At 42.0% G+C, this 24839-nt stretch overlaps 1 protein-coding gene and 1 long non-coding RNA gene across 5 annotated transcripts in view, besides 1 other annotated feature; one reads left to right on the top strand and one right to left on the bottom strand.

Moving 5' to 3' along the window:
* Window positions 1-15562, bottom strand: part of GNG12 (G protein subunit gamma 12) — a 131993-nt gene extending 116431 nt beyond the window's left edge. For 3 of the 4 annotated variants that reach the window (NM_018841.6, XM_047425406.1, XM_047425415.1), the window contains exon 1: window positions 15439-15562. The gene's annotated coding sequence lies outside the window, so the exon portion shown is untranslated. Of the gene's footprint in view, window positions 1-13913; window positions 14263-15438 lie in introns of those variants that run through there. The other variant, XM_017001809.3, reaches the window with a different exon arrangement.
* Window positions 1161-1455: an enhancer, noted in NCBI's record as "tiled region #9183; K562 Activating non-DNase unmatched - State 20:ReprD". NCBI's record gives its function as "activates a minimal TATA promoter and a strong SV40 promoter by Sharpr-MPRA in K562 cells {active_cell/tissue: K562}" and the evidence as "EXISTENCE:reporter gene assay evidence [ECO:0000049][PMID:27701403]".
* The window catches only part of GNG12-AS1 (GNG12, DIRAS3 and WLS antisense RNA 1), a 370700-nt gene continuing 360243 nt past the window's right edge, over window positions 14383-24839 (top strand). Inside the window, exon 1 of the long non-coding RNA NR_040077.1 lies at window positions 14383-14531. This is a non-coding gene — a long non-coding RNA (GNG12, DIRAS3 and WLS antisense RNA 1). The remainder of the gene's footprint in view (window positions 14532-24839) is intronic.

Genomic DNA, 24839 nt, shown 5'->3' on the forward strand with positions numbered 1-24839 from the left:
CCTCCTGAGTAGCTAGGACTACAGGCACATACCACTGCACCCAGCTAATTTTTAAAATTTTTGTAGCGATAGGGTTTCACTAGGTTGCCCAGGCTAGTCTCAAACTCCTGGGCTCAAGCAATCCTCTTACCTCAGCCTCCCAAAGTGCTGGGATTACAGGTGTGAGCCACTGCACCTGGTCAATAAATGTTTTCTCAATGGATGAAGGAAAAAATGAAACTATACTAGGCTTCGACAGACTGGTAGGAATTTACTAGGTGGTTTGAAGGAAACATTTTCAAAAGCAAAGGCAGACCCTTATTCATCCTTATGTCCCCAGAGTCTTGTACTTATTACAGGTACTTAATAAATGTCTAACAAATTCTAGGCAGAGGAAACAGTGTGAGGAAATCCAGAGAGATTTAAGGTTACACAGTGAGTTTGGACAACTTGGCCAATGTGAATCACATAGTGGGTGTGTGGGGACACAGAAGTGCTTCTCAAATTATTCATGGGGAAAGACCAGGGGTTTTTTTTTTTTTTTTTTTTTTTTTTTTACTTCCAATTCAATATGGACCAATTCTTTCATAAAAATTCAGCGAAAAGGAACTGCCAAAAATGGGACAAAATACAAGTCCAGTTCCTAATCAGATTCAACAGATGTAAAATGATGGTCAAATTGCTATAAAAATTACCAAATATGGACTTATCTAGCTGCAGATTGCTAACAAAGAGGTCTGTCTGCTGATCAAGCTTTGCCTGGCACTGAGAAAGGTGGAGGTAGGAGCTATTGTGGAGAGCCACAAGAAAGATGAGCTTGTTCTACAAAGGAAAGAGAGATCAAGAATAATGTTCACTGAGGATTTCTGTGTGGCCGGCATGGTTATGAGTGCTTCACACCTATTAACTCATTTACATTTCATAACTTATCTGTGAGGTAAGTGCTATTATCACACCCGTTTCAGAGATGAGTAAACTGAGACACAGCCGTTAAAAACATTCCCAAGCCAGAGGTGGTAAGAAGCATCACGAGGCCTTGAACCTGGGCAGTGTGAATCTTCATTACTAGACTGCGATGCCTTTGGGGAACTCATAGACAATTTTCTATTGTCTATGAGTTCAGGAAGTGACCCACTGAAATTTATGTTTTCAAGAAATCATGCTGGTGGCAGTGTGCAGGGTAAAGGTCAGTTAGGAAGCCACAACAACAATCCAGGTGAGAGGCATGGGGGTAGGGAGAAGCAGACATGCGGGCGCTTTAGGAGGTGGACCCAGGCTTTAGTTGGGGGCAGGGTGTCCAAGCTAGGGAGAGATGAAGGGGAGGGAGGCGTTCCTGATGACTCAAGGGTTCAGAGCTTAGCAACCTGGGTGGATGGAAATGTCTTACAGAAAACAGGCAGGAAAGCAGGTTTTAAGGGGACGATGATGAGATCAGTTTTCAGCAAATGTCTATCTGAATTTGAAGAGCCTGAGACAATCTACAGTTGTGTCTTAGGAAAATTCTACAGACTGTGATCTTCGTTTACTGAATTCAGGTAGTCACTATTTTTACCCTAGTTCTGCCAAACCACTTTCCTCCTCCTCTTTCCCCTTTGCACTGGTTACACTTAAAATAGTTTAAAAAGCAGCAGTTCCAAAACCCTAAACTTTCCTCCCTTCAAAAATAACACAGTGTGTATGCAAAATGCCACACTCATTACAGCTTATTTCTGAACAAAAAGCAGATTTCCCTGCAAATTCTTATTTGCATTTTCATTAAATTCAGATTCTTTATAATGGCTTATGTGATCTGTTCTCTGTCTACTTCTCCAAACTTATCTCCTACCATGCATTCACTCATTCATTGTTCTTTACACTCCTACCACAGGAGCCTTCTTTTTGTGCTCAAACATGCGAAGCTTATTCCCAGCTCAGTGCCTTTGCACTGGCTGTTCCCTCTACCTGGAATGCTCTTCTCCAGATTTAACCTGGCTGCCTCCTGCTCATTCAGCTCTCAGCTCAAATGTCCCCTCCAAAGAGTGGTCTTTCCTGGTCACCTCCATCCCCAGTCCATCTCTCTGTCTCAGTCCCCTGCTTTGCTACCTTCACAGCACTTACCCCTTTCTGAATTGACCTCGTCATGTGATTTTTACTCAAGGAATTTTGTGTATCTTGTTCACAGTTGTATCCCCCAAGTAGACAATCAATAAACATTTGCTGAATTAAAAAAAAAAAAAAAGATCAGCCAGGCACAGCGGCTCACGCCTGTAATCCCAGCACTTTGGGAGGCCGAGGTGGGCGGATCATCTGAGGTCAGGAGTTCAAGACCAGCCTGACCAATATGGTGAAACTCTGTCTCTACTAAAAATACAAAAATTAGCTGGGTGTGGTGGCATATGCCTATAGTCCCAGTTACTCAGGAGGCTGAGACAGGAGAATTGCTTGAACCCGGATGGCGGAGGTTGCCAAGATTGTGCCATTATACTCCAGCCTGGATGACAGAGTGAGACTCCATCTCAAAAAAAAAAAAAAGATCAACTTGGAGCTTATTAACAACTGAAAAACAGATGAAGAGACAGGGCCTTTGTCCACAAAAAATAGCAAAGAAACATCCAAGTACGAGAGAGACAACACAGGGCAGTGTCTCCTCCCTGTGTCCCTTCCACTCCCAGAAGCCCATTCCTCCAGACCACCTGGCGGATGCCTCACCTGTCACACTTTTCAATGTGGTATTACCAGAGGCTGTTGGACAGCAAAACGGTGCCATGAAAAGAGTACTGATTTCAGAGTCAGACCACTCACTACTGTGCCTATAACCTTCCAAGCACAGTATTCAACCTCTCAGAACCTGCTTCCTCACTTGTAAATGGAGCCAGTATTCCCTAGCTCAGCTACTATAAGGAGTGAGAAAGTGTATGTGAAGTTCCTAGCATATGCTGATACTCAAAGGGTAACTATCATCAGCTTCATCCAGTTTACTGCCGGGACACTATACTCTCTCAATTAGGGTTTAATAAATGCATTTAACTGTAGAAATAAGTTTAATTGATATTAAAGATGATGGATATTACGTGACCACTATGATAATGATGTCAATTATAACAACAGTTAACATCTGAGCACTTACTAGTAACACCCTAAGTACTTTAAATATATCAGTAGCTGTTTTATTCCTAAGCCAAATATGGTGTTTCATCAATTCTAAGAAGCATATTTTGTTCACATTTTAAGATCCCTGATAATTGGAATGATTCTTCATGGTAGGCAGAAAGCTCCAAGGATGTCTGTGTCTTAATCCCTGCAACATGTGAATATATTACATTACATGGCAAAAGGGACTTTGCATTATGCAATTAAGGTTACTGACCTTAATATATGGAGAGTACCCTATAGGTGGGCCCGATCTAATCAAAGGAGCCCTTAAAAACAGAATTTTCTCTGGCTGGAGGCAAAGAGATGCAGCAAAAACAAAAACAAAAAAAAACATCAGAGAGATCCCAAGCACGAGAAGGATTTGTCATAATGTTGCTAGTTCTGATATGGGCTCAAGGGCAAGGACCAGAGGGAGATCTCTAGGAGTCGAGGATGCCTCCCAGCTAAGAGGCAGCAAAGAGCCGGAGGCCCTCATCCTGTAATTGCAGGGAACTGGAGTCTACCCACAACCTAAATGAGCCTAGAAATGAATTCTTCCCAAAGCCTCCCAATAAGAGGCCAACACCTTGATTGTGGCCTTGTAAAACCCAGATGAGAGAAATCAGCCAAGCCCACCCTCACTTTCAATGTACAGAACTGTGAGATAATTCATATTTGTTGTGTTAGGCTGCTAAATTTGTGGTAATTTGTTATAGCGGCCATAGAAAAACTAACACACTCTTACAGCTGATGTGCATTATAATTTAATCAGCAGCTTTTTTTTTTTCTTAGTGGCACATAGAATAGTGGCACATAGAATAATGGCACATAGAATACCGGCACATCTAATCAATGACATCTGAAATCTGTTGAAATACGGTGTTATTATCTCTGTTTTGCAAACGGGAAAACAGGATCTGAGAAGTCAGGTGATTTGCCCAGGAGACTGAAACCGCAAACTCAAGCTCTAAACCAGGGGTGTCCAATCTTTTGGCTTCCCTGGGCCACACTGGAAGGGGAAGAATTGTCTTGGGCCACAAACAAAATACACTAACGATAGCTGATGAGCTGAAAAAAAAAATCGCAAAAAAAATCTCATAATGTTTTAAGCAAGTTTATGAATTTGTATTGGGCCGCATTCAAAGTCGTCCTGGGCCGCATGCGCCCTGCATTATGAGATTATTTTGCAATTTGTCTGTAAGCTCATAAGCTGTCATTAGTATTAGTGTATTTTATGTGTGGCCCAAGACAATTCTTCCACTGTGGCCCAGGAAAGTCAAAAGATTGGACACCCCTGGGCTAGGGTATCTTGTCAAAAGGCCAAGGAATGGCTGACATGACCTCCTTCAGGCCCATGTCTGATACAGGACCACAGAGACCCAGCTAGCTCCAGAAGCAGTCAACCCCTTTTGATTAGGCACCCAAAGGTGCTAGGTACCCCTTCTAGGTACTGGACCAAGATCCTGTCCTTATGAAGCTGACACTGCAGTGAGGTAGGTTAATATAACAATTGATTGAGATAAGTGCTAGAAGGAAAACAAAACATCCAGAGAGCTTTAAACCAACCTTCATAAAAGTCAGAATGTACATATTCAGGAGCTAAAAAGAAACAGAGCACTGGGCCTGGAAGATAAAATTTTTCCTTTGGGATTTTTCATGGGCCACTCATTGCTAGTGTAGGTACTCCCAGAGACAGAGTTTTTTGTTGTGAGTTTAAAAATTATTTTTGTTTTTTTGCTTTTTTTTTGTTTTTTGATGGAGATATAGGCTAACTTTATACTCAAATTCATAAGACTGCCTCTTGTGAATTTCCAAAAACAAAGCCACTGCCATCTTCCCATCAAATCATAATTTCCCTCTCTTTCAATGGCATTTAGTTTTTGAAAGATGAAAATTAATTTTATATTAAAATAGCATCCCAAGAGCTGACTGAAAGAGCACTTCAAAAAGAAAGATGATTCCATGCAACTCCGATCCCACATCCTTTGTAGAGTCCTGAGCTCTGGTTTGACTTCTTACATTGTGCTTTTACTTTCATCTTCTCTTTCACCCTGGAAATACAGTAGACAGAGCTCTGATGGTGAAATTAAAGGGAGAACAGGAGCCCAATTCAGACAGTAAACAACAACAACAAAATACGGCATGTATAACCTTCCTTCAGGAGATACAGTGCAAGTGGAAAATTCTAGGCTTCTTAAAAGGAAGTTTTTAAGTTTTGCAGGAAATGCTATTGAAATGTATATATTCTCAATCTCTCTCTTTTGTTTTTGTTTGAGAGGGAGAAATTCTAGGCTAGAAGATCATCTTCATCATGTTTTTTGGAGAAGCCCCAGTTTAGTAATACCATTAGCTGAAAACTATTTTTAATTCAGACATTAGCAACTGGCATAAAACCCTACTTTCCACTTCTCTTGATTTTGCACTGACAATTTGGCAGCCCACTCTACCCTTAGGCCCAAAAGAGCCATCACATTTGTAAGTCTGTATTTAGGAGATTCTGACAGAGATGTATGCAAGAGGAAAGGTCAACAAATGCCCACAGGAGGATCAACATTCTAGAAAAGATGTAAGAACCGCCCCAAACCGCCATCTCACTCATAATCAAAAATATTTCAATGGCTCTAAATTACCGTTGTGCAGAAACCAGCTTAGCAAAAATAAGAAGAGCTGACACTTTTATGGCCATTGGCTGTACGGAACCGGGACATCCAATACATTCCTGATGGGAGGGCAAAATGGTTCAATCTTTCCGGAGGGGTACTACAGAGCACTGTGATTCAGCAGTCCCACTTCTGGGAATCAATCCTTAAGTACACCTTCACAAAGCAAAATGATTTATTACATCTTTATTCATCACAGCACTGTTTGTAATAGCAAAAGACTGGGAAACAGCCCAAAGGTCCAGCAGTAGAGATTGGTCAAATAAACCATGGTACATCCACATGATGGAAAACTTGTTATTCTGTGTGTGTGTGAGAAAGAGATACTTGCAGAGACAGATGTCTAAAACATACCACTAATTTTAAAAGGTAAGGTAAAGAAGAGTATATACACCACCTTTAATGAGAGAAGGGGGGAGAATTAAAATACCATATATTCTTATTTGCTTGTGTTTACAAGTTGCTACTTGCAGAGAATATGGGAAAGGCATGGATGGGGATAAGATGGGAGCAAGGTTTTTGAATTTGAAAACTTTTGATTTTTGTGAATTTGCTATTTAAAGAAATCCTGGGGCTGGGCACGGTGGATCAGGCCTGTAATCCTAGCACTTTGGGAGGCTGAGGCTGGCAGATTGCTTGAGTCTAGGAGTTCGAGACCAGCCTGGGCAACATGGTAAAACCCCATTTCTACAAAAAACACAAAAGTTTGCCAGGTGTGGTGGCAGGCACCTATAGTCCAAGCTATTCAGGAGGCTGAGGTGGGAGGATCACCTGAGCCAGGGAAGTCGATGCTGCAGTGAGCCATGATTGTGCCACTGCACTCCAGCCAGGATGACAGACTGAGATCCTGTCTCAAAAAAAAAAAAAAAAAAAGGAAGCAAGAAAAGAAAAGAAATCTTGTAGGGAATTCTTGTAAGAAATTGTCAAAAATGTTTACCTTTGTATATGGTTATAATGTTTCTTGAGGATCATATATTATATATTTTCAAAAATATTGAAGTTGTATAAGCAATTTTCCCAGAAGTGTGAAGAACAGGACAAGATTGGCATGGAAGAGATAAAGCTAAGGTGGAGTTCAACAGCTCAGGAGGAGGAGTCGAAGAAACCTGGGTTTAGGCAGGTAGGTTCTCATGTGAAAGTCAGTCAGAGAAATCTCAGTCCAGAATTCAGGAGGTAAGCACAGTGAGTGTGGAGAGGGTAATTTCTGCCCTGTGTTATATTACCTGCTGGATGTGGGTGGCTCTGAGCCCCCGGATATTTATTACAGCCATAGGAAGTCAGAGAACTGTAGGTGAATGGGAGGCAAAGATAGGAACACTAGGATTACCTTCTAGGCAGCCTGCCAGGAGCATTGATTTGCTCTTGGATAAAGCATGCTGCTCATCAAATATTTATGTTAAAAAAGAGGGCAAGGCATGTGCTGGAATATTCTGCTGAATTTGACAGAGATATTCCTTGAAAACTTGAGACTCCTGGAATTTTGTGTAATCAAATCATACTATAAACACAACAGGTGAATTTGCTATTTAAAGAAATTCTGTAAGAAATTCTTAGGAATTGTCATCTTCTGCTCTTTCTGCTTTGGGAATCTGAGTATGTCTGAAGATAGCTGCATTTAACCAGGTTAAATGTGAAAGGCATTCACGTTTCTGCATCTTTTAGTTTTTTTCACAAGGTGTATTGTCTCCAGAAAACAGCAGATGGCCTAGGTCCGAAGTATGAACCAGCACCTTGATCCTCAGGACCACTGCCTTAGCAGTTAGATTCACTAAACATGGCTGATCCTACAGGCTGTGCAAATGCCTCCCAGAAGAGGAGCCAGGAGAAGGAAGTTGATTCTGGCTACAGGCTTTCTAAAGGATCAACTTAAAAAAGCAAGAAAGTAGTACCAGTTGGTACTAAGGGGAACACAGACAAACTCTCTGAGTTTGTGGTACCTTTGATAACAAGACTCCGCACCTTTTAACCTAAACTAGAAGCCTTTTTCCAGAAGCAGCAGCTACTCATAGGTAAGTTCCAAAGGCTCCTGCAACCACTGTTACTTGCATCCTGTCCCCAAGGAAAAAGGCCTACGGCTGGTCAATAAATAACATGAATCCCTCTCCACGTTCCCAGGAGTTACTACTACTCCATTCCCTGCACCAGGCCAACTACACAACGGGTGCTGGTGACCCTGGCAAGTATTAGGCAATACTGAGCATGCTGGTGTTTAAGTAGCAATAAACAATGTCAACAGCACCCAAAGTGCTGGTCTTTACCTACCCCTCAGAAATAATGAATTGAAGAGAAAGAAACTCATCATAGGCAATGTGTACCACTGAATGTTTGTTTCCTAGCATATATAATCAGTATTACTTTTTTACATGTACCTTGCTGACATACCACAGAAAACATGGTTTTATTCCTTCATTCCACTGACATTCATGAAGTTTATATGTTTCCCAATAAAGCCTGACATGATAAACCAAATGGTTAAGTGACAGACTCTGCCAGCTGATGGCATCTAGAGGACTACTGTGGCTACAGGGGCTTTGAGAAGCAGAGCTGCTGGTAGCCATATTGTGCCTTTGTGTGTGTTAAAAAAAGGCATTCCTTCCATGTACACCTAGACTTTTGCAGGCTTGATAGCATCAGAAAGAAGTTCCCTTTTCTCCTAGCAGAGGCAATCCTACTCCAGGATGCATGTGGTTTTGTTTGTTTAGCAGATGTGAGCCTCCCATTTGCCTCCTTGCCCAGGCACTTTTGTGCAGTGAACAACCTGTATAACAGTTCAAGGTATCCCTGTCAAGAAGTCACAATCCATTCCTTCTGCTTCTTGGCCAGACATCCAACCCTCCCATGACAACTTATCTGCACAGCCAATCATGACCTTATATACCCACATGAAGCCCCATGGTCTAATGTGCAGGCCATGGTCTAATAATTCAGAAGATTTCATTAGTCTAGGCACAGCTCAGGCACCTAGTCTAAAGGTTACACCTTTCTAATTTGCCTGAGATTCTGGTTAAACTTGGTATGATGATGTTATCTCAATAAGGTCTTCAATAAGCCTCAATAAAGTCCAAGAGGCTTTTAGATTTTGATTCCTCTTTCCACCCTTAGATTTAGCTCATGTTGGGATTTAATGGATTTCAGTTTGAGTCTTCATTTGAGAAAAAACCTTATGTTTTTCCTCTGCAATAATTTATCCCCCCAAAACAACACAAAATTTGAGGTAACTGCAAGCTTGGGGTCTGAGTCAAAGGGTCCCAGTGGGGAGTTAAGGGTTTAGTGTCCAGTGGTCAAGGACGTCTTGGCTAGTGCCATCTGAAGCTAAATAAAAGCCTGATTATTTCACATCAATGAAGTTAAGATTCTGCCTCCAATGGGCTCATGTGAGTTTGCACAAAGCCATTCTGAATCAAGACAATTCTCTACACACAATGCAAGTGCAGAGATGGCAACTGATTCAGACTTCACTCCAGTGAGCATGTGTGATCACGCAAACTCAAGTTCAACCAGAGCTTATACTTCTCTCTTCGGTCAACTAAAGGGGATCCTATGTCAATTACATGACCTTGCCTGCAAGGGGAGTGGTGGCCTACTGTGTCAGAAAGCATACAGAATACAAAGCCTTCTGACTCTCTGGGCCCAAAGTCACCCACTTATTATACAATCAATGAAACTGAAAATTACAGAAGATTTTAGCAACCAATCTCTTAGAACTTCTAGATACTAACCCTCTGGCAGAACTGAAAGTATTAATTCTTAACAGTCTCCAACACTCCAGTTTTTTTTTTTATTTTTTTAAGATGGCATCTTGCTCTGTTGCCCAGGCTTGAGTACAGTGGCACGATCTCGGCTCACTGCAAGCTCTGCCTCCCAGGTTCACGCCATTTTCCTGCCTCAGCCTTCCAAGTAGCTGGGACTACAGGCGACCGCCACCACGCCCGGCTAATTTTTTGTATTTTTAGTAGAGACGGGGTTTCATCATGTTAGCCAGGATGGTCTCGCTCTCCTGACCTTGTGATCCACCCGCCTCGGCCTCCCAAAGTGCTGGGATTACAGGCGTGAGCGACTGCACCCAGCCAACACTCCAGTTTTTATTATACAGTAATTCTCTGAAATGCAGACCCATTAAAAGAAGACAAAAACCCTCCTTGTCACAGGATGGTAACCAGACACTTCACAACTGAGCACTTTTACGACACCCAATAAAGACTAACATGATAAACCAAACACTTAAGTGACATCAGATATGATTTTCAAGAGAGACTCTCCAATAAATGGAATAATCTAGCTACAAGTTATCTTAAGTCAAGTCACCTCCACCATCTGCCCTGGATCCATGCTACCTGTTAACTACTCTCCTGTCATTCCTAAGGGAGGAAAGTGGGGAGGTCAGGATCTGTGGGTATGTGCTGGTTCTAGAACAGGATTTAGCGAGTCAGTTCCTTCATCTGTACTATCCAGACCCCCTTTGGAAGTCCAGGGATGAAAGAGGTAGGCTTCACAGGGTCACCAAGGACTGGGCCTTTGTGTGCGCTTCAGGCCTGCTGGGTCTCAGCAGCCATTTGGAAGTGTTAACTGCTATGGCTAAAGAGTGGCAAGCCTGATGGAGAGGCACTGATGATTCTCCTCAGGAAGGTCACCTAAAAGGAGTCTCCTCCTCATGTTTCTCTTGATTAGTTTTATAGTTTTTAAGCAAAACTGACTCCATAAAGCCCACTTCACTCTCACCTCTGGCTGGATGCACCTCCATCTCCGTGCAGAGGGCATGAGATGTGGAGTTAAGATGCTTCTGGGTCAAATTCTGTCCTTGCAACTTGAGCAAGGTTCAGACCTTTAAGGAACCTCAGCTTCCTCCTCTGGGCTGTTGTGACAACTGAGCAAGACTGTATACGGGAAGAGTTTAGAAAGGGCTCAGGATATATAATATATACAATTGTGCTGTAATTAGTTTTTATCTATCCAACCTTCCTGTTAAACTAAGTGCACCAATATCTGCCTCATTACTGTCTTCCAGGTGTCTGATATACTGAAGGTGCTGTAAAAACGCAGCTCATCAAGGCAGGCCTGGATCTGGGAAGTCACAACTTCCATAAAGTCAAGGTTGGTGGACTAGGTCTATATGCAGATCCTAAAAACCCACTGGTAGACTTTTCAAATATTCTTCATGAAGATCAAACTACAAGCTTCTGAAAGGCCTTCTCTTTTACCGCTAAACAATTCTCACTGCAAAGGTTTTGACATTTAACCGAAGGACATTCAACTGCCATAAAGTTGGTGCTTTTTCCAAAACAACAATAAAATCCTGCTATTTGTAGTTAACAAGCCAGATTTGTTTTTTAGTAACTATTACGCAAATTTTTTTTAGTATTTGTAGTTAATAAACCAGATTTGTTTAGTAACTATTACACAAATGAATTATATTTTAGTATATATATAGGCGCATTGTGGAAAATAGGGGAAAAGCAGGTTGGGGGTGGGAGAGCACCATAATCCCATCACCAATTTGTCTGTATTTTCTTCTAGGCTTTTCTTATGGTTTAAAAATAATTTTTAAGCTAGCTGTAATTGTAATAACACAATGTAACTGTGCATACTGCTTTTCCCCATTTTAAACTGTAACAGACTTCATGTATTACTGATTTTTTAAAGTCTCTAATAAAAAAGAAAATGGAATTGAGATTTGGAAGAATTAACTTGTTTAACAAATTAATATTGCAAACCATTTCACATTTAAAAGACAAAATGATGATTGTCTAATTCTCTTACTTTTTAAGTACTATTTGGCAGGACTATTTAAATTACTGAGCTTTTTTTAGATTTGGGGGAAATATTAAAATTTTGTATAGCTGTTTTCCTGTTACAAAAATAATGCATGCTCATTATACAACATTTAGAGAAAATTTCAATAATTTAATGTTAACATTTATTGAATGTGGACTATGCACCAGGCACTATTCCAAATGCTATATACATAGATTAGCTCATTTATTCCTCACAACACTTATTGAAGCATAGATTAAGTAACTTGCTCACAGTCTACTCACCTAGAAGTATGAGCCAGAAATCATTATGTTATGTTCTAGGAGTGAAACGAATCAATAATTTACTCAATCAAATGCTTCAGTTGTTTCAGAGCATAATGTCATAGGCAAGAAACAATTAATAATCACACTGTACCCTTTATAGTTATTTAAAATTATTATAAACCACATCTCTGTGTCCCAGTGGAGCAATTAGTAAAATGAGAAATCATCTGTGGCATGAGCTAAGATCCTGGTTCAGCCCAATTCTGTGCACCTGACGTGCATTAGGACAAAAACAAGAAGCTTTAAAGGGTTTGTTTTAAAGATGGAGGCTTTTTTTTTTTTTTTTTTTGAGACAGAGTTTTTGCTCTTGTTGCCCAGGCTGGAGTGCAATGGCACGATCTCGATTCACCGCAACCTCCGCCTCCTGGGTTCAAGTGATTCTCCTGCCTCAGCATCCCGAGTAGCTGGGACTTCAGGCATGCGCCATCACGCCTGGTTTATTTTGTATTTTTAGTAGAGATGGGGTTTCTCCATGTGGGTCAGGCTGGTCTTGAACTCCCGACCTCAGGTGATCCGCCCACCTTGGCCTCCCAAAGTGCTGGGATTATAGGTGTGAGCCACAGCGCCTGGCAAGATGAAGGCATTTAAAAAATTTTTTAGATTTTAGGAAATGAGTCAACAATGTGATGAGTAGATTTCCTGAATTAACTGAACACCCAATCTCATGAAAGTTTACAAATAAAACAACGACTCACAATCAGCCTAACACTTCTTATGGCTTATCTGTTGGCCTTGGACATCAGCACATGCAAAAGTAAATAACCGGATACCCTTGGGTCACATGTTTTCATACTTTGATTAAGAATTACACTTGGTTAAAGATGAATACTTCTGTTCCTGGCTTAATTTCTTACCTAGGGCTAATAAACACAACTATTTGAAATATAAATTCTCTTTAAATGTAAAGGATAATGCAATGTTTCTGACTGTCAAAATTACTATGCAACTGTAACTTTAGCACTAAAAGCATATTAAAACTATTAATCCTTTAATCATAATTATTCATATTGCTGTGGTAGAAACATCACACATACACACACACAAACACACACACACCAGTTACTTTCTGTAGAATTTGAAATTGCTCTATCTAGCATTTCCGGAAGGTTCAAGCTGCCACCCTGCAATTTATCCAGTAGCCTGCTGCTTGAACAAGCTAGATAAATATCTAATAATTTTGACCATGTACTGCGTGTTAAGTCCAGTTTAAGTGTTTTCCAAAGACAAAGTTTTCATATACTTTCTGTAAAGCCCTACAGATAGAGACCATTATTATCCCCATCTTATAAATCAGACTGAAAAAGGTTAAATAGCTAATATTTTCATCTAAGTCTGTCTGACTCCAAAGCCAACACCCCAAATCACTGTTAAACAAGCTTCTCTTCCAAGTTAGGGCTCAGAAAAATTTACTTGCTTTCACAACTTGCCTTCCTAGGTTAAGCTTAAGCTGACATAAAACTCCAAAACAAAGCAAAACACAATAAATCACATAATTCTAATTTTAAAAAAAACTAATTTGATATTGGCTAACCACTTCCTCAAGTTTTCTGACCATGAAGCCCTTTGCTCTCACACTTTAATAAACCACCGATATTCTCTAACAAGTGACAACACAAATCCACAAATCTAATTGTTAGAGAGCTTTCAAGTAAGACTGGAGCTTTCTGGACAGGAAATTTTTATAATTCTATTTTTTTCAGGCTCTTGTGAAACACAGATTCACATTTTCATATATTTCTACACAAATCTAAGTGCTGTGTGCCCTGTTGGGGGTTCGATATCTAGTAAATTACATGAGTTAAATACAGCAAAAATAGGACTGCATTATTTATAAGGTCTAACGACGCAGTAGACTTTTCAGCATTTTTTGGACTTAAACCAGGGCTTTACGGCGCTGGTTAACTATTAGAGAAGGCAAAGGGACTGAACATTTTATCTGAAAGTCCTTTTATCACTTAAGACTCTGTAAAATTTTTGATTACTTTAAAAATTGTGTGTGTGAATAACGTTAGTTTACTAGAAAAGGGGCTTGCTAGTATATATAATTTGGTTAAAAAAACAAAAACAAAACAAAACAGCTCCTTACTTGAATGTGATTGTTTTGGCAATAGTAAAATTCAATCCCGTCGTTCTAGCGCTGCCTGCCTTCCTGGTTCTCCTAGGTGAGGGCCGCCATCCTGCGATAATTTACTTCGAGAGCTGCGAAGCGCTGGCAAGGGTGCAGTCTGGTGACTAGCACTTTTAAAAACAAAGCCAAACTCCGCTTTTAAAATAGAGAAGGCACAGACGCAGACCCTGCCTCTGACGACATCCAAAAGATTCATTATACACAGCCTATTCAGGCGAAGCTACAACCGCCCCAGGAAATATAAACTGTGTCGGCAAAGACAGCAGGGGGGAGAGGAAGTAACTGATGGGAAGGAAGCTAATCATGTGAAGTTTGTCCAACTCCACACGGTCTAATAAATTCCCGTTTGTTTCCGCTGGGAGCAGCCATTAAACGCGCCCTGACACGTGGGCGCAGGAACCTCCCTTCTACCTCTGGTGTTCAGAGATTTCCTTCTCGACCCACTTGTTTGTATACAACCACGCCCGGCAGGATGACCACCAGATGACCGGCCGCAGCAATGCCTCCACTCAGTCCCAGTTGGGCAAAGTTTCACTCCACTGCGGCGACGTGAACAAGAATCACGGCTTCCTTATCGTGAGTTATGAATGATTTAAGCCAAGTTTACAGGACACACAAAGCGAGGGACGAGTGAGTGACGGGAGGTGCTAAGTGACAGCGTTTTAAAGTTAGCTTTAATTGATATGCCCTAATTAAAATGAAAAACAGAATTCACCCTGCCCCACGGGATAACTGTCGGGGCAATAATTAAAAAAAAAAAAATCACCCAAGACTAAGCCTCAACCTCCCCCTTACCACTTGCAAATACAGTCTGCAGAAAAGCAGCCTCGGGTCCCCACTCGGGGGTCCCTCGCGGGGTGCGTCATATGGGCTCTCCCCTCTGCGACCCGCTATTTCCCTGCTAGACCCCCAGCGCCCAGCGGATTCCAAGGCTGCGCTCCCGCCGGCTGGTCCCGGGAGGTAGAAAGTAGGCAGAGGGGCGTGGCGTCCCTGTCGCCCCCACATGCCAGCCCTCCTCCAACGCCTGACACCACCACAAGCCACGGCTGGGAACACTGGGGGCCTCCCAACCCGGCGCGGGGCGCACGGCCGCAGGCTGGCGAGGAGGCAAGCGAGCTCAAGGGGAGACCTTTCCTTCCACCCCCAGCCCTAGCCCCAGCCACAGCCGTGGGGGCGGCTTCCCGCAACCTCGGGCGGCCGCCCGTCGAGGGCGCGCGCGCCGTTTCTGCCTCTGGGTCTCGGTGTCCCTTGGCCCCTTCCTCCCCCTCCCCCCGGTCTCCGGCGCCCAGCGCCCAGACCAGTCCCCGCCCTCCAGCAGGACACTCTTCCCTCCTTCCTTCCTTCCTCCGCTCCCTCCCTCCATCTCGCTTCCCAGCACCCGGGACTCGGAGGCGGCCCCCGAACTCGCTGGCCGACGCCCCGCGCCGCGCCCCGACCCCGCGGGGACCCGACTCACCACCCGCGCCCGCCGCTTGGTACTCACCCGCCTGCCGGTGCGCTGCCCCGCCGTCGCCGCCGGGACTCGGTCTCTAAGGGCTCCTGGAGACGGCTCCGACCTCTCCTCCTCCTCCTCCTCTTGCTCCTCCGGGCGCCGGCTCCGCCTCGCTGGGGTGGGCGGGGCGGCGGCGGCCCCGGGCTCCTTCCTCCGCGCCGGGCCCTGCCTCCCGCCCGGACGCCCTGGCTGTGCTGTCCCGGGCCGGGGAGCCCGCGTTGTGGCCCCGCAGGAGGAGGGGCGAGGCCTGGCCTGTGGAAGCTCGGTGGACGTCTGGTCGTCTTTGGCCATCCCCCTTCCTCTAATTCTCATGGAGGACCTGAAGTTCTAGGACTTGAGGGCCCCCACTCTACGACCCGCCCCCGCGCGGGGCCGCCCTGACTCCTCGCAAGTTTCCTTCGCGTGCGAACGCCTCGCTTGCCCCTGTGCCAGCGGTCCCCAGGGCTGTGAGGATGAGCGCTGCCAAACCCCTACACGAAAGTTTGGTTCTGTTCCAGAAACTATGGAGGAAAACACGCATAGTAACATTTAAAGGGCCCTGGGGCCACGGAGAGAAGTTTCCCAGAAAGTGGAGGTATAACTGCGGATTATAGAATTTGTAGTACATCCACCCACCATGAGCTTCCCGTCCATCTGCCCCGACCCCCTGAAATTTGTTTCCGAATGTCCAGTACCTGGCAGAGTTCTGCCTAATGAATTAATGGGATTTGGTTGGTCTTTTCTGGAAGGGTTCAAGGTCGGGTAAATGGAGGAGCCATTTCCGCTTCCACAGATTTTGTACTATTCCTTTGGCCATTCGACAGACATTACCAAGCACCCGCTGTGTACCAACTGCGATGCTAAAGGTGATGGGAGAGGTACAAAGATGAATCAGACAAGGGGCTTGCCTTCTTGGAGTCCAGAAAGAGTAAAGAAGCTGGATGTTCAGAAAACCACTCAGCGGACTTCTAGAGTATTCCTAGGTAGCCGCTTTCTTGTTTGACAGGGTGGAGAGAAAAGAGGTGAGGCCAAAGTAGGTCACTTAGAACCAGTGTGGGCAGAGTCCACACTTGAAATGGAGTCTGAAAGCATTGGTGAGGGATGTCTGTGTATTGAGTTTCACCAACTGAGGACAAGTGGGCCCTGGGGAATCTGGGAACTAGGGACTGCAGTCAGGGCATTATATTCCCTCTTGCTTTCCTTCTGACCCCTAAGCAAGTTTCAGGTTTAGTGAAATCATTTGCACATGTAGAAGAGGTGTCACAGGTAGAGTAGGTGTATGAATGCATGCCTTGCCCCAGGAGTGTGGTCTTAGCAAGCTGCGGATGGCGGTGGTTTGTGGGATGCAAGCCACAGACTGCCAGAGGGGTCTTTATTTCCTGTTCTGTTCAGCATTAGGAAATGCTTGACTGATTCACAAGTACTAACAGTTCAAATGATACACCTGAAACAGAACAGCTTGACACCACAGGGACTGAGAGGGTGGCATACTGGAGTTTGTATTTTTTGGCCACAGACCACAGAATAGACTCCTCTAAGCTATGCTACTAATTTTCCTTCCTGGGACACTTTATAGTTTAATAAGTGCTTTCATGTACTTACTCTTACTTTTCTCTCATTAGTCTCTTGAAAAAACCTGGAAGCTGGAACACCACATATTGCCACCAGTAACTTAAGCGGCTTGTCGAAGGTTTTTCTAGTTGAGTGCTGTTCAAAGTGTGGTTCATGGAATAGTGACAGTCTGCAAACCGTTACCCATCTACAAAGGGATGAGCATAGAAATTGAAGATGAGCATGTAGAAACTTACAGCAATTTGACAGAGTAATTTTATGTCTGTTAAATCGTTTAAAATGCAGCTTTGTATTTTATGTCTATTTCATTTTTCTTTTATGTGGAAAGGCATCAGCCTGCAACAGATTGAAAATAAAATATCACAGATAGTTTGAGAAGCACTGATCGAGATAGTATTAGGTTAGTACAGAAGTTATTACCGCAATTACTTTTGCATCAACCTAATAGCAAGGCAGGAATGATAAGAGCTAATACTTAACCAGCACTTTCTGCGTAGCAGATGTTGCTTTAAGTGCTTTACATATATTAAACCTTTTAATCCTCCTAACAACCTAAGGACGTAGTCACAGGAAGGTTAGGTCTTACAGAGCAAAACTGGCAGAGCCAGGATTCAAACCTTGGCTGGCTGACCCAATACTTTGTGCTTTTATCGATGCCCTTGATCCAGTGTCCTTTCTACTCTGCTGATGTTTCCCAAACTTAAAGGATTCACATTCCATTTTCATACAACTGTAATTCCTATTTTTTATTTATATTTCTTATTGACTCACTTTTGTTATTTTGTACATATATTACCCTGGCAGTTAGTAACTCCAAGCATGTAATCATGGGTTTGAAAAGCAAGCATCAATCTTCTACTCTAGTTTATATTAAAGTACATGCCTAATTCCAGCACTTGCTGCCAGTGCTTGGCCATACCCCCTCCAGTCCTTTTCCAGTTTCGTGCACACTGGTTCCAGGCGTGCTTTCATTCCCTCCTGCCAGCACCCACATCATATTCTCAGAGTACCAGCTCCAGCTGCAGGATTTGCTTTGCCTGGGCACAGGGCAGCTGGAAATGTGTAGAATTAATGTCCTCCACCTCCATCCCTAGCCTTTAGCCAGTGTGGAGGAATAAATATTTCAGCTCCTTTGCTCATATTTGTGATAACTGGGTGGATCTACATTGTCTACAGAGTTCCCTATGCTGTTGGGCCAAATTCCATGAGCCTGTTTGGTTTCTTATTTTTTTTTTTCTTTCTCTAGCCTTCTTTTAACTTTTTTTTTTCCTTTTTTTTATGTTCTTGCTATAAAATAGTTAATGAACTATTTTCTACCCCCTCACCCAGTGGCATTCAAAACAAATAAATCAGTTTCCTATGAAAGAGTGTCAGTGGAGTGGAGTGAAATTTATGCTTTATGAGATAAGGTCTTTGGGATTAAGTCCTGGCTTTGCCGTTAACAAGCTGTGTAAATTTGAGACAGTCACTTAACTTTGCTGGGTCTCTGCTTGTCTTTAAAATAAAGGGATTGTAAGAGAATGGCTCTAAAGTCCCAATTCTATGGAAATTAGATTTTAGTTTTAAAAAGTGGCTTTCTTGGCCATTTAATCCCTCACGAGACAAGCAAGAGAAGTGGTTTTATAATTCAGGACAGTTGTTTTTTTTTAACGAATTGCAATTCATATGTCAATCTACTGTGAATTTCTATTTAATATTCAATAACAACACTGTAGCTAAAGGATGAGTCAGAAAGAGATGGTGAAGAAATGAAAAAGTGAGGCAAATCAGTCAGTCTCTCGGTGATCAGGTCTCCACAGACTTCAGAACAATTTTTTATTTTATTTTTTTAGAGATGGAGATCTCACTTCAGAACAACATTTTTGGGATATCAGCTTTGCTCCCTGTGGATTTTATTGGTCCTATTGCACATGGCTTCACTCTTTGTCTGGACCTGCCCTGGAAGGCAGGGAGAGCTCCCTCCTTTTGAGTAGGTCACCTGGGAATAAGTGTCTTCCAAACTGGTTTTTCTGCTCAGTCGGAGACTGCCATATTTCCATGTAGAAGTTAGGTCAGGGAGAAGCACCCACAGTCTTGGAAATCCCCAAGTAACCTGTTGAAACGTGTATTGCCATAGGCAGGAGCTATGACCAAAACTGTGGCTACAGATCAGAAGGCAATTTAGCATAGTTCCACACTTACATGGGTGGAAACCTTCAGAGGCCTGGGTGGGAGTGACCCAAAATGGAGGCACCCATGCAAGTTAGTTGATTACTAACTCAATATGAGCTCTCTGGCTTATTACTGCAATAGGCCCTCTAGCTCTAGGGAGTGGAAGTCCCCAGATACTGTTGTCTAGAAATAAAACATATGGGCTCAAGAGTTAATGAATTTCCTGTCATTGGAGGAGTTCAAGCAGTGGTCTCTTAGAAAGTAGAGATTTAGAGGATATCAGCGATGCAACCCAAATGCCCATCACAAGAGATAAGATACCTCCCTCTAAAGCACTCTGAAAAAAAGATATAGATCTAAATATGTTCACATGAAAAGATGCCCTCAATGCATTCTTGAACATAGATAGCAGATTATAAACCATCATGTGGAGACGCTTCCATTCATGTATAAAAAAGCATACATACACACGAATCTCTTCTGTAAGTGTATCTGCAATGATGTTTGTCAAAATAGTAACAGTGACTTTCTCAGGGTGGTGAGATTTCAGGTAACCTACCTTTTTTATACTGCATGAATTTTTTCACAGTGAATGTGTAGCTTTTCTATAAATCATGTCTTTTTGCATATTGTAAATGTATCTTTCTTTCATAATATAAAAAGACAAAAGGCATTGTGCAGACCAGGAGTTGGCAAATTATGGCCAGAGGACCAAAGGACCACATCTTTTGTAAATAAAGTTTAATTGGAACACAACCACACTCATTCATTTCCCTGTTGTCTACGGTTGCTTTTGTTTTTACAAAGGTTAAGAGCTGAATAGCTGTAACAGAGCTTATGGCTTGCAAAGCCTAAAGTGTTTTATCTGCCCCTTTAGGAAAGAAGTGTAGCAACCTCTGGTGTAGACAATTGGACTGGAAAACGTTTTCAGCATGGCAAATTGCAACCTAGATTTTACTTTTTCAGATTTCAATTTATCTGAATTTCTATTAAAAATATGTATAGGCTGTATATTTTAAAGTATATCCCAGTTCTGAGTAGTGATTATAACAGAGCAAAGTGACAGTATTAGTATTTGGGTAGCTAAGGTCTGTATATTCTCCTTCTTCTTCCTCTTCCTTATTCTTTTCCTCCTCCTCTTCCTCTTCCTTCTCATTCTCCTGATAAGATCATCATCTTATTCTACAGTTTGCCCTCAGATGCTGTTCCACTTGAGAAAGTACCAGGAGGAGAACTGAGGTTTCTCTTTCCTGGCTTGGATCTCTCCAAGACAGAATAATTGAGGAAGTCCTTGACAAAATAAATTGTCCTGGCAGAAGAGAGGCAAAGTTCTAAAGAATAGACGTAGACCTGGAGGAGAAAAAACAGGGACGCTGAAGGAGCCCAGCTGAGGAGGAGGGGAGGGTGTCCAGCTCCAGAGGAAAGGCTGGGAATTAGATGGAGTAAATCTCTCTCTTTTCCCCTTCCCTCATCACACCCTTCCCACACGATCCATCTAGCCTCCAGATATACAGAGGAGGTTTGGGGATTTTTCTCCTTCACAGTCAGCAGTATCCAGCATCAAAGCTCCCATTTGCAGAACTCACATGAGCAAGGCTAACTAATGGCAGTCTGAGCAATGCCAGGCCCTTGCTCATTTCCAGAACTCAGCCAGAAAAGCTGGATATTGGCCTTGATATGGAATGTACTCAGATACCAAGTAATTAAATGATTCAGCAGAAACACGCTCTTTGTCAGCCACTCACCTTAGACCTTCCCTGAAGAAAACATAGGCCCCTGCGGTGTCAGAAAGAAAAGCAGCCTGTGATATGATTAGATTATTGGTTCACCTATAGCCTATGCTATTGGGTTTTGACTCCTACACAGGCAACTCTGTGGACCTGTAAGCTAAGTTAAAAAGGGCATGGAAAGTATTTACTCTGGCATGTTGATAACAAACCTGTTAATTTCATCTAGCTTTAGATACTGGTGAGAATGGAAAGTGCCAAGCCTGCAACCTCAGTGACTCCAATTTACACGGTTCCCAAAATAAATAAAATATTTTTTCAGAATATGGGGGAATCTCAGAAAATGTAATAAAAATGCTATTTTCTTTCAGTGTTCCAGTATTACATATTTTAGAGTACTGAAATCCTGGCATTATTGTTGGTATTATTCATTTATCTCAGTATTTTTTGAGAATAAAAATATGAACGATTTCTGTCTTGAGACTACCCAGAGAATTACATACCACATTAAAATTTTAAAGGTAATAGAAGTGCATTAGTTTAAAGAGTGTTCTGACCACATTCCTTGCCTGTTTAAATCCTCCACAGGTGTCTTATTGTTATTTTATTTCCTATTTCCTGGATTACTAGGGAGGTTGAGCACATTTTCTTCTATTTATTAGTCATCTGCAGTCCCAATACCAATTTGGGCATGGATCTACTTGCAGAGGTCTTTGATAGATTGTGCTGGATATTTCTGTATTCCTATAAATATCCTTGAGCTTTATTCTGGAATATAGTTAAGTTATTTGGAAACAGATTTGTCCTTTCAGTTCTGCTTTTAAGATTTGTTTAGCAGGATTGGAGCAGTTACCACTCTAGGTTTTTTGCCTCTATTGAAGCAAAAGGGGATTGTGTGTCTATTCAATGCTCCATAGATCTTGAGATTTTTTTCAACCTGGATGGTGGAAGGAGGGACTCTTCTTGGCCCTGTATGAGCATCAGGTACTGTTCCCTCTAATACCTTGCACATGGTTCTTCTCTCAGCCTTGGGTAGTTACTTCACCTGCAAGAGCCCATCATCACTCACCATACTCATGCTAGTTTCTGGATTTTCTTTCTGTACACTCTCTTCTCTCTGGTTCTCTGTCTTAGGAATTCTAGTTGCCTTAATCTCTTCTTGTCTCCATCACCTTAACTCAAGGAGTCCACCAGATTCTTCCTGAATTCCCCCTCTCTGCTGTGGCCTGGAAACTCCCTCAGGGGAGGGTGCTGGGGGAGTGGTAGGATACACCTCATCTGTTTCCCATCTCTCAGGGATCACTGTCCTCTTGTCACCTGATGCACAGTGTTTTGCAAACTGTGGTTTCATTTATTTTACCTGTTTTTAGGTTGCTACGGGTAGGACGGCAAAACTAGTTCTTTACTCCATCTTGACTAAAAGTAGAAGTTGCCCCTGTCACTCTAAAACATGTGTTATTCTTCTTTTTAACTTAGTGTTATCTAATATTATTGCCTGCCCCCCTCATCATGCTGTAAGCTCCATGAGGGAAAGTACTATGTCTGTTTTGTTTTCTGTTGCCTCCCCAGCACCTATAACATTGCCTGACACATAGTAGTACTCATTAAATATTGAATGACTGCATGAAAGCTAGACCAGGATGGAGATCATGAGAAAACTTGAATGATGAACAGGAAAATTGAACAGATTTTGCTGAGAGTGGAGGCTCCTATTCTGAAACCAGAAGAATGTAGGCCAAGTTCTATTCAATTGCAAAGTGAGGATCTTGAGCACTGCAATGCTGGTGACTTTACTCAAGCTAGTCTGTCTGTAAATCTGCCAAAGCTCTTGGCAGATTAGGTCACATTTTTGGAATCTGCTTGGAATTCAGGAACATGGCGGTCATAATGAATCATGATTTTGACCCTTCCTCTTAATCTGATTGGCTCTAAGCCCTTAACAAATATTAATTATGTCTCACAATGGAATTGCCACCCTGACCTCTTTTCTTAGACTGCTAACACTGGATACTGCAGTGTTCAGCCCTCCTATCCCATAATAACGTGCCTACTCCTCCTTCCCAAAAAAGGAAAGGATAGGGTACTGTTTCTATCAACATCCTTAAATTATTTAGTCAGTATCCTAAAGATGGACTTGACAATTGAACAATTTTCTTAAAAACCTCACTTGGTAATTGCAAAAGCCTGTCTACTGTTTTTTCTGACTCTAGTCTCCAAGACAGTCCTCTGAGGTACAGGAAAAAATTTTAGAAATCACAGCTACATTTAATTTTTGTCTTTTCCTTTTGTTATTATGGTAAGTCAGGTATATAATTTACAAAGACACATATATTAGGACTACATGCTCGAAGTCCTTACCGATGAAGTATACAATAAAAAATGTTTGGACATCACAGATCTCATCTCTGAATTCCCTGTAGTTAAGGCTGGCTTACTCTTCCTGTGAGGCACCTCTAATTGTGCCTCTTTCTTCTGCAAAACAAACAAAACCTCAACACCTCTGAGGCTTAAGTATAAGAAAACTTTTGCAGCAAGCTGAAGTTGAAAAGAAGGGAGTTTTTCTATGTAGATTCAAAATCCAGTCTGCAATTGTTTGTTAGTCCCCACATTTATGTAGCACATTGTAATTGTGTACTGCACTGAATATGGCTACAGGGCTTCCGATTTCAGAAGAACATGAGTCTGCTCTCAGCCAAGATTTGTATATATTTAGTTCTCTGTGAAGCCTCTCAGGTCCACTAAATTATGGACCCAGAACAAGTACGAGGCCATGAATATTTCCTAGGTGCCATGTTAGCAGACTGAATTGCTAAAGAGATTATAGAAATAACAAACTTTAAATATATGAAGTTATTTACCATCAAAGTAGTTTACAGAAGTAGCAATAGAGTAAAAATGAATCTACAATACACTGTGTGGGGTGTGTCTGTGTGTAGGGGTTGGGGCAGGGAACACCAAAGTGCCAGACACATGAATGAAGAAGATATTTTGGAAGAGGAACCTTTGGCCCTGGCCTCCCCATCTGACACCAAGTAGACTAGAAATGAACTGCTCAGTTGAGCCTTTACTGAATTCCTAACACACACACACACATGCACATGCAACACACACTCATGAACAAAGTAAAAAGGTTATTTTACTTCTGTAAGTTTTGGGATAGCAGACCTGAGAGTTGTACACATTATCTGAATACCTGGCTCCAACTCTACCTGCAGCAGGACTACCCCTGGGTTTTTCAGTAAGCCAGTCCATTGCTTTCAGTGTGCTCAGGCTAGCACAAGTGGAGTTTCTGTCCTTTGCATCCAAAAGAATTGGGAATAATGCAATAGCACTCTCTCTTTTAACTCAGGTGCAAAAGCTTCAGCTAATCATTTTTCTCAGTTGGTGACTTATGCTCATTTTTGATCTGTGCAATGGCCATCTCTTATTTGATTGATTGATTGATGGTTTTCTTTTTTTTTTTTTTTTTTCAAGGCTTAGATCTGCTATTTCTCTCCCAAGGATGTTTATGCTGATGGTTTTCATTCATATCCTTTTTATGCTGTTCCTACCCCATTCCTTTCCTGCTCATAGACATTCTAAGTCTAATGTATATCTAATTTTTATATACATCTTTTTATTTGCATGTGTCCTTACAAAACATATAAAATTTATTTTTGTGTTATTTTAATGGTACTGTATACTCTATGTAGGAAGAATACTTATGAATTCTTCAAATTAAATGTCATGGTGGTCTACAATTTTCTTCCTAAGTTATAGATTTCTTCTCTAAGAAATATACATCCTAATAGTGTCTATTTTTCTTGACAATTGTTTTGTCTTCTTGGCATTTTAAAAAAGAACTTTTATTCTCTGAATACCTACTTCTTCAGCCCCACTGATTGATTCCACATATATACTTTATTTTTTAATAGTAAATATTCTGGTTATATGGGTATGGTATCTTCTCATCTCTTTGAAAGT

This window comes from Homo sapiens, chromosome 1 (assembly GCF_000001405.40).
Source record: "Homo sapiens chromosome 1, GRCh38.p14 Primary Assembly".
In the NCBI taxonomy this organism is placed as follows: domain Eukaryota; kingdom Metazoa; phylum Chordata; class Mammalia; order Primates; family Hominidae; genus Homo; species Homo sapiens.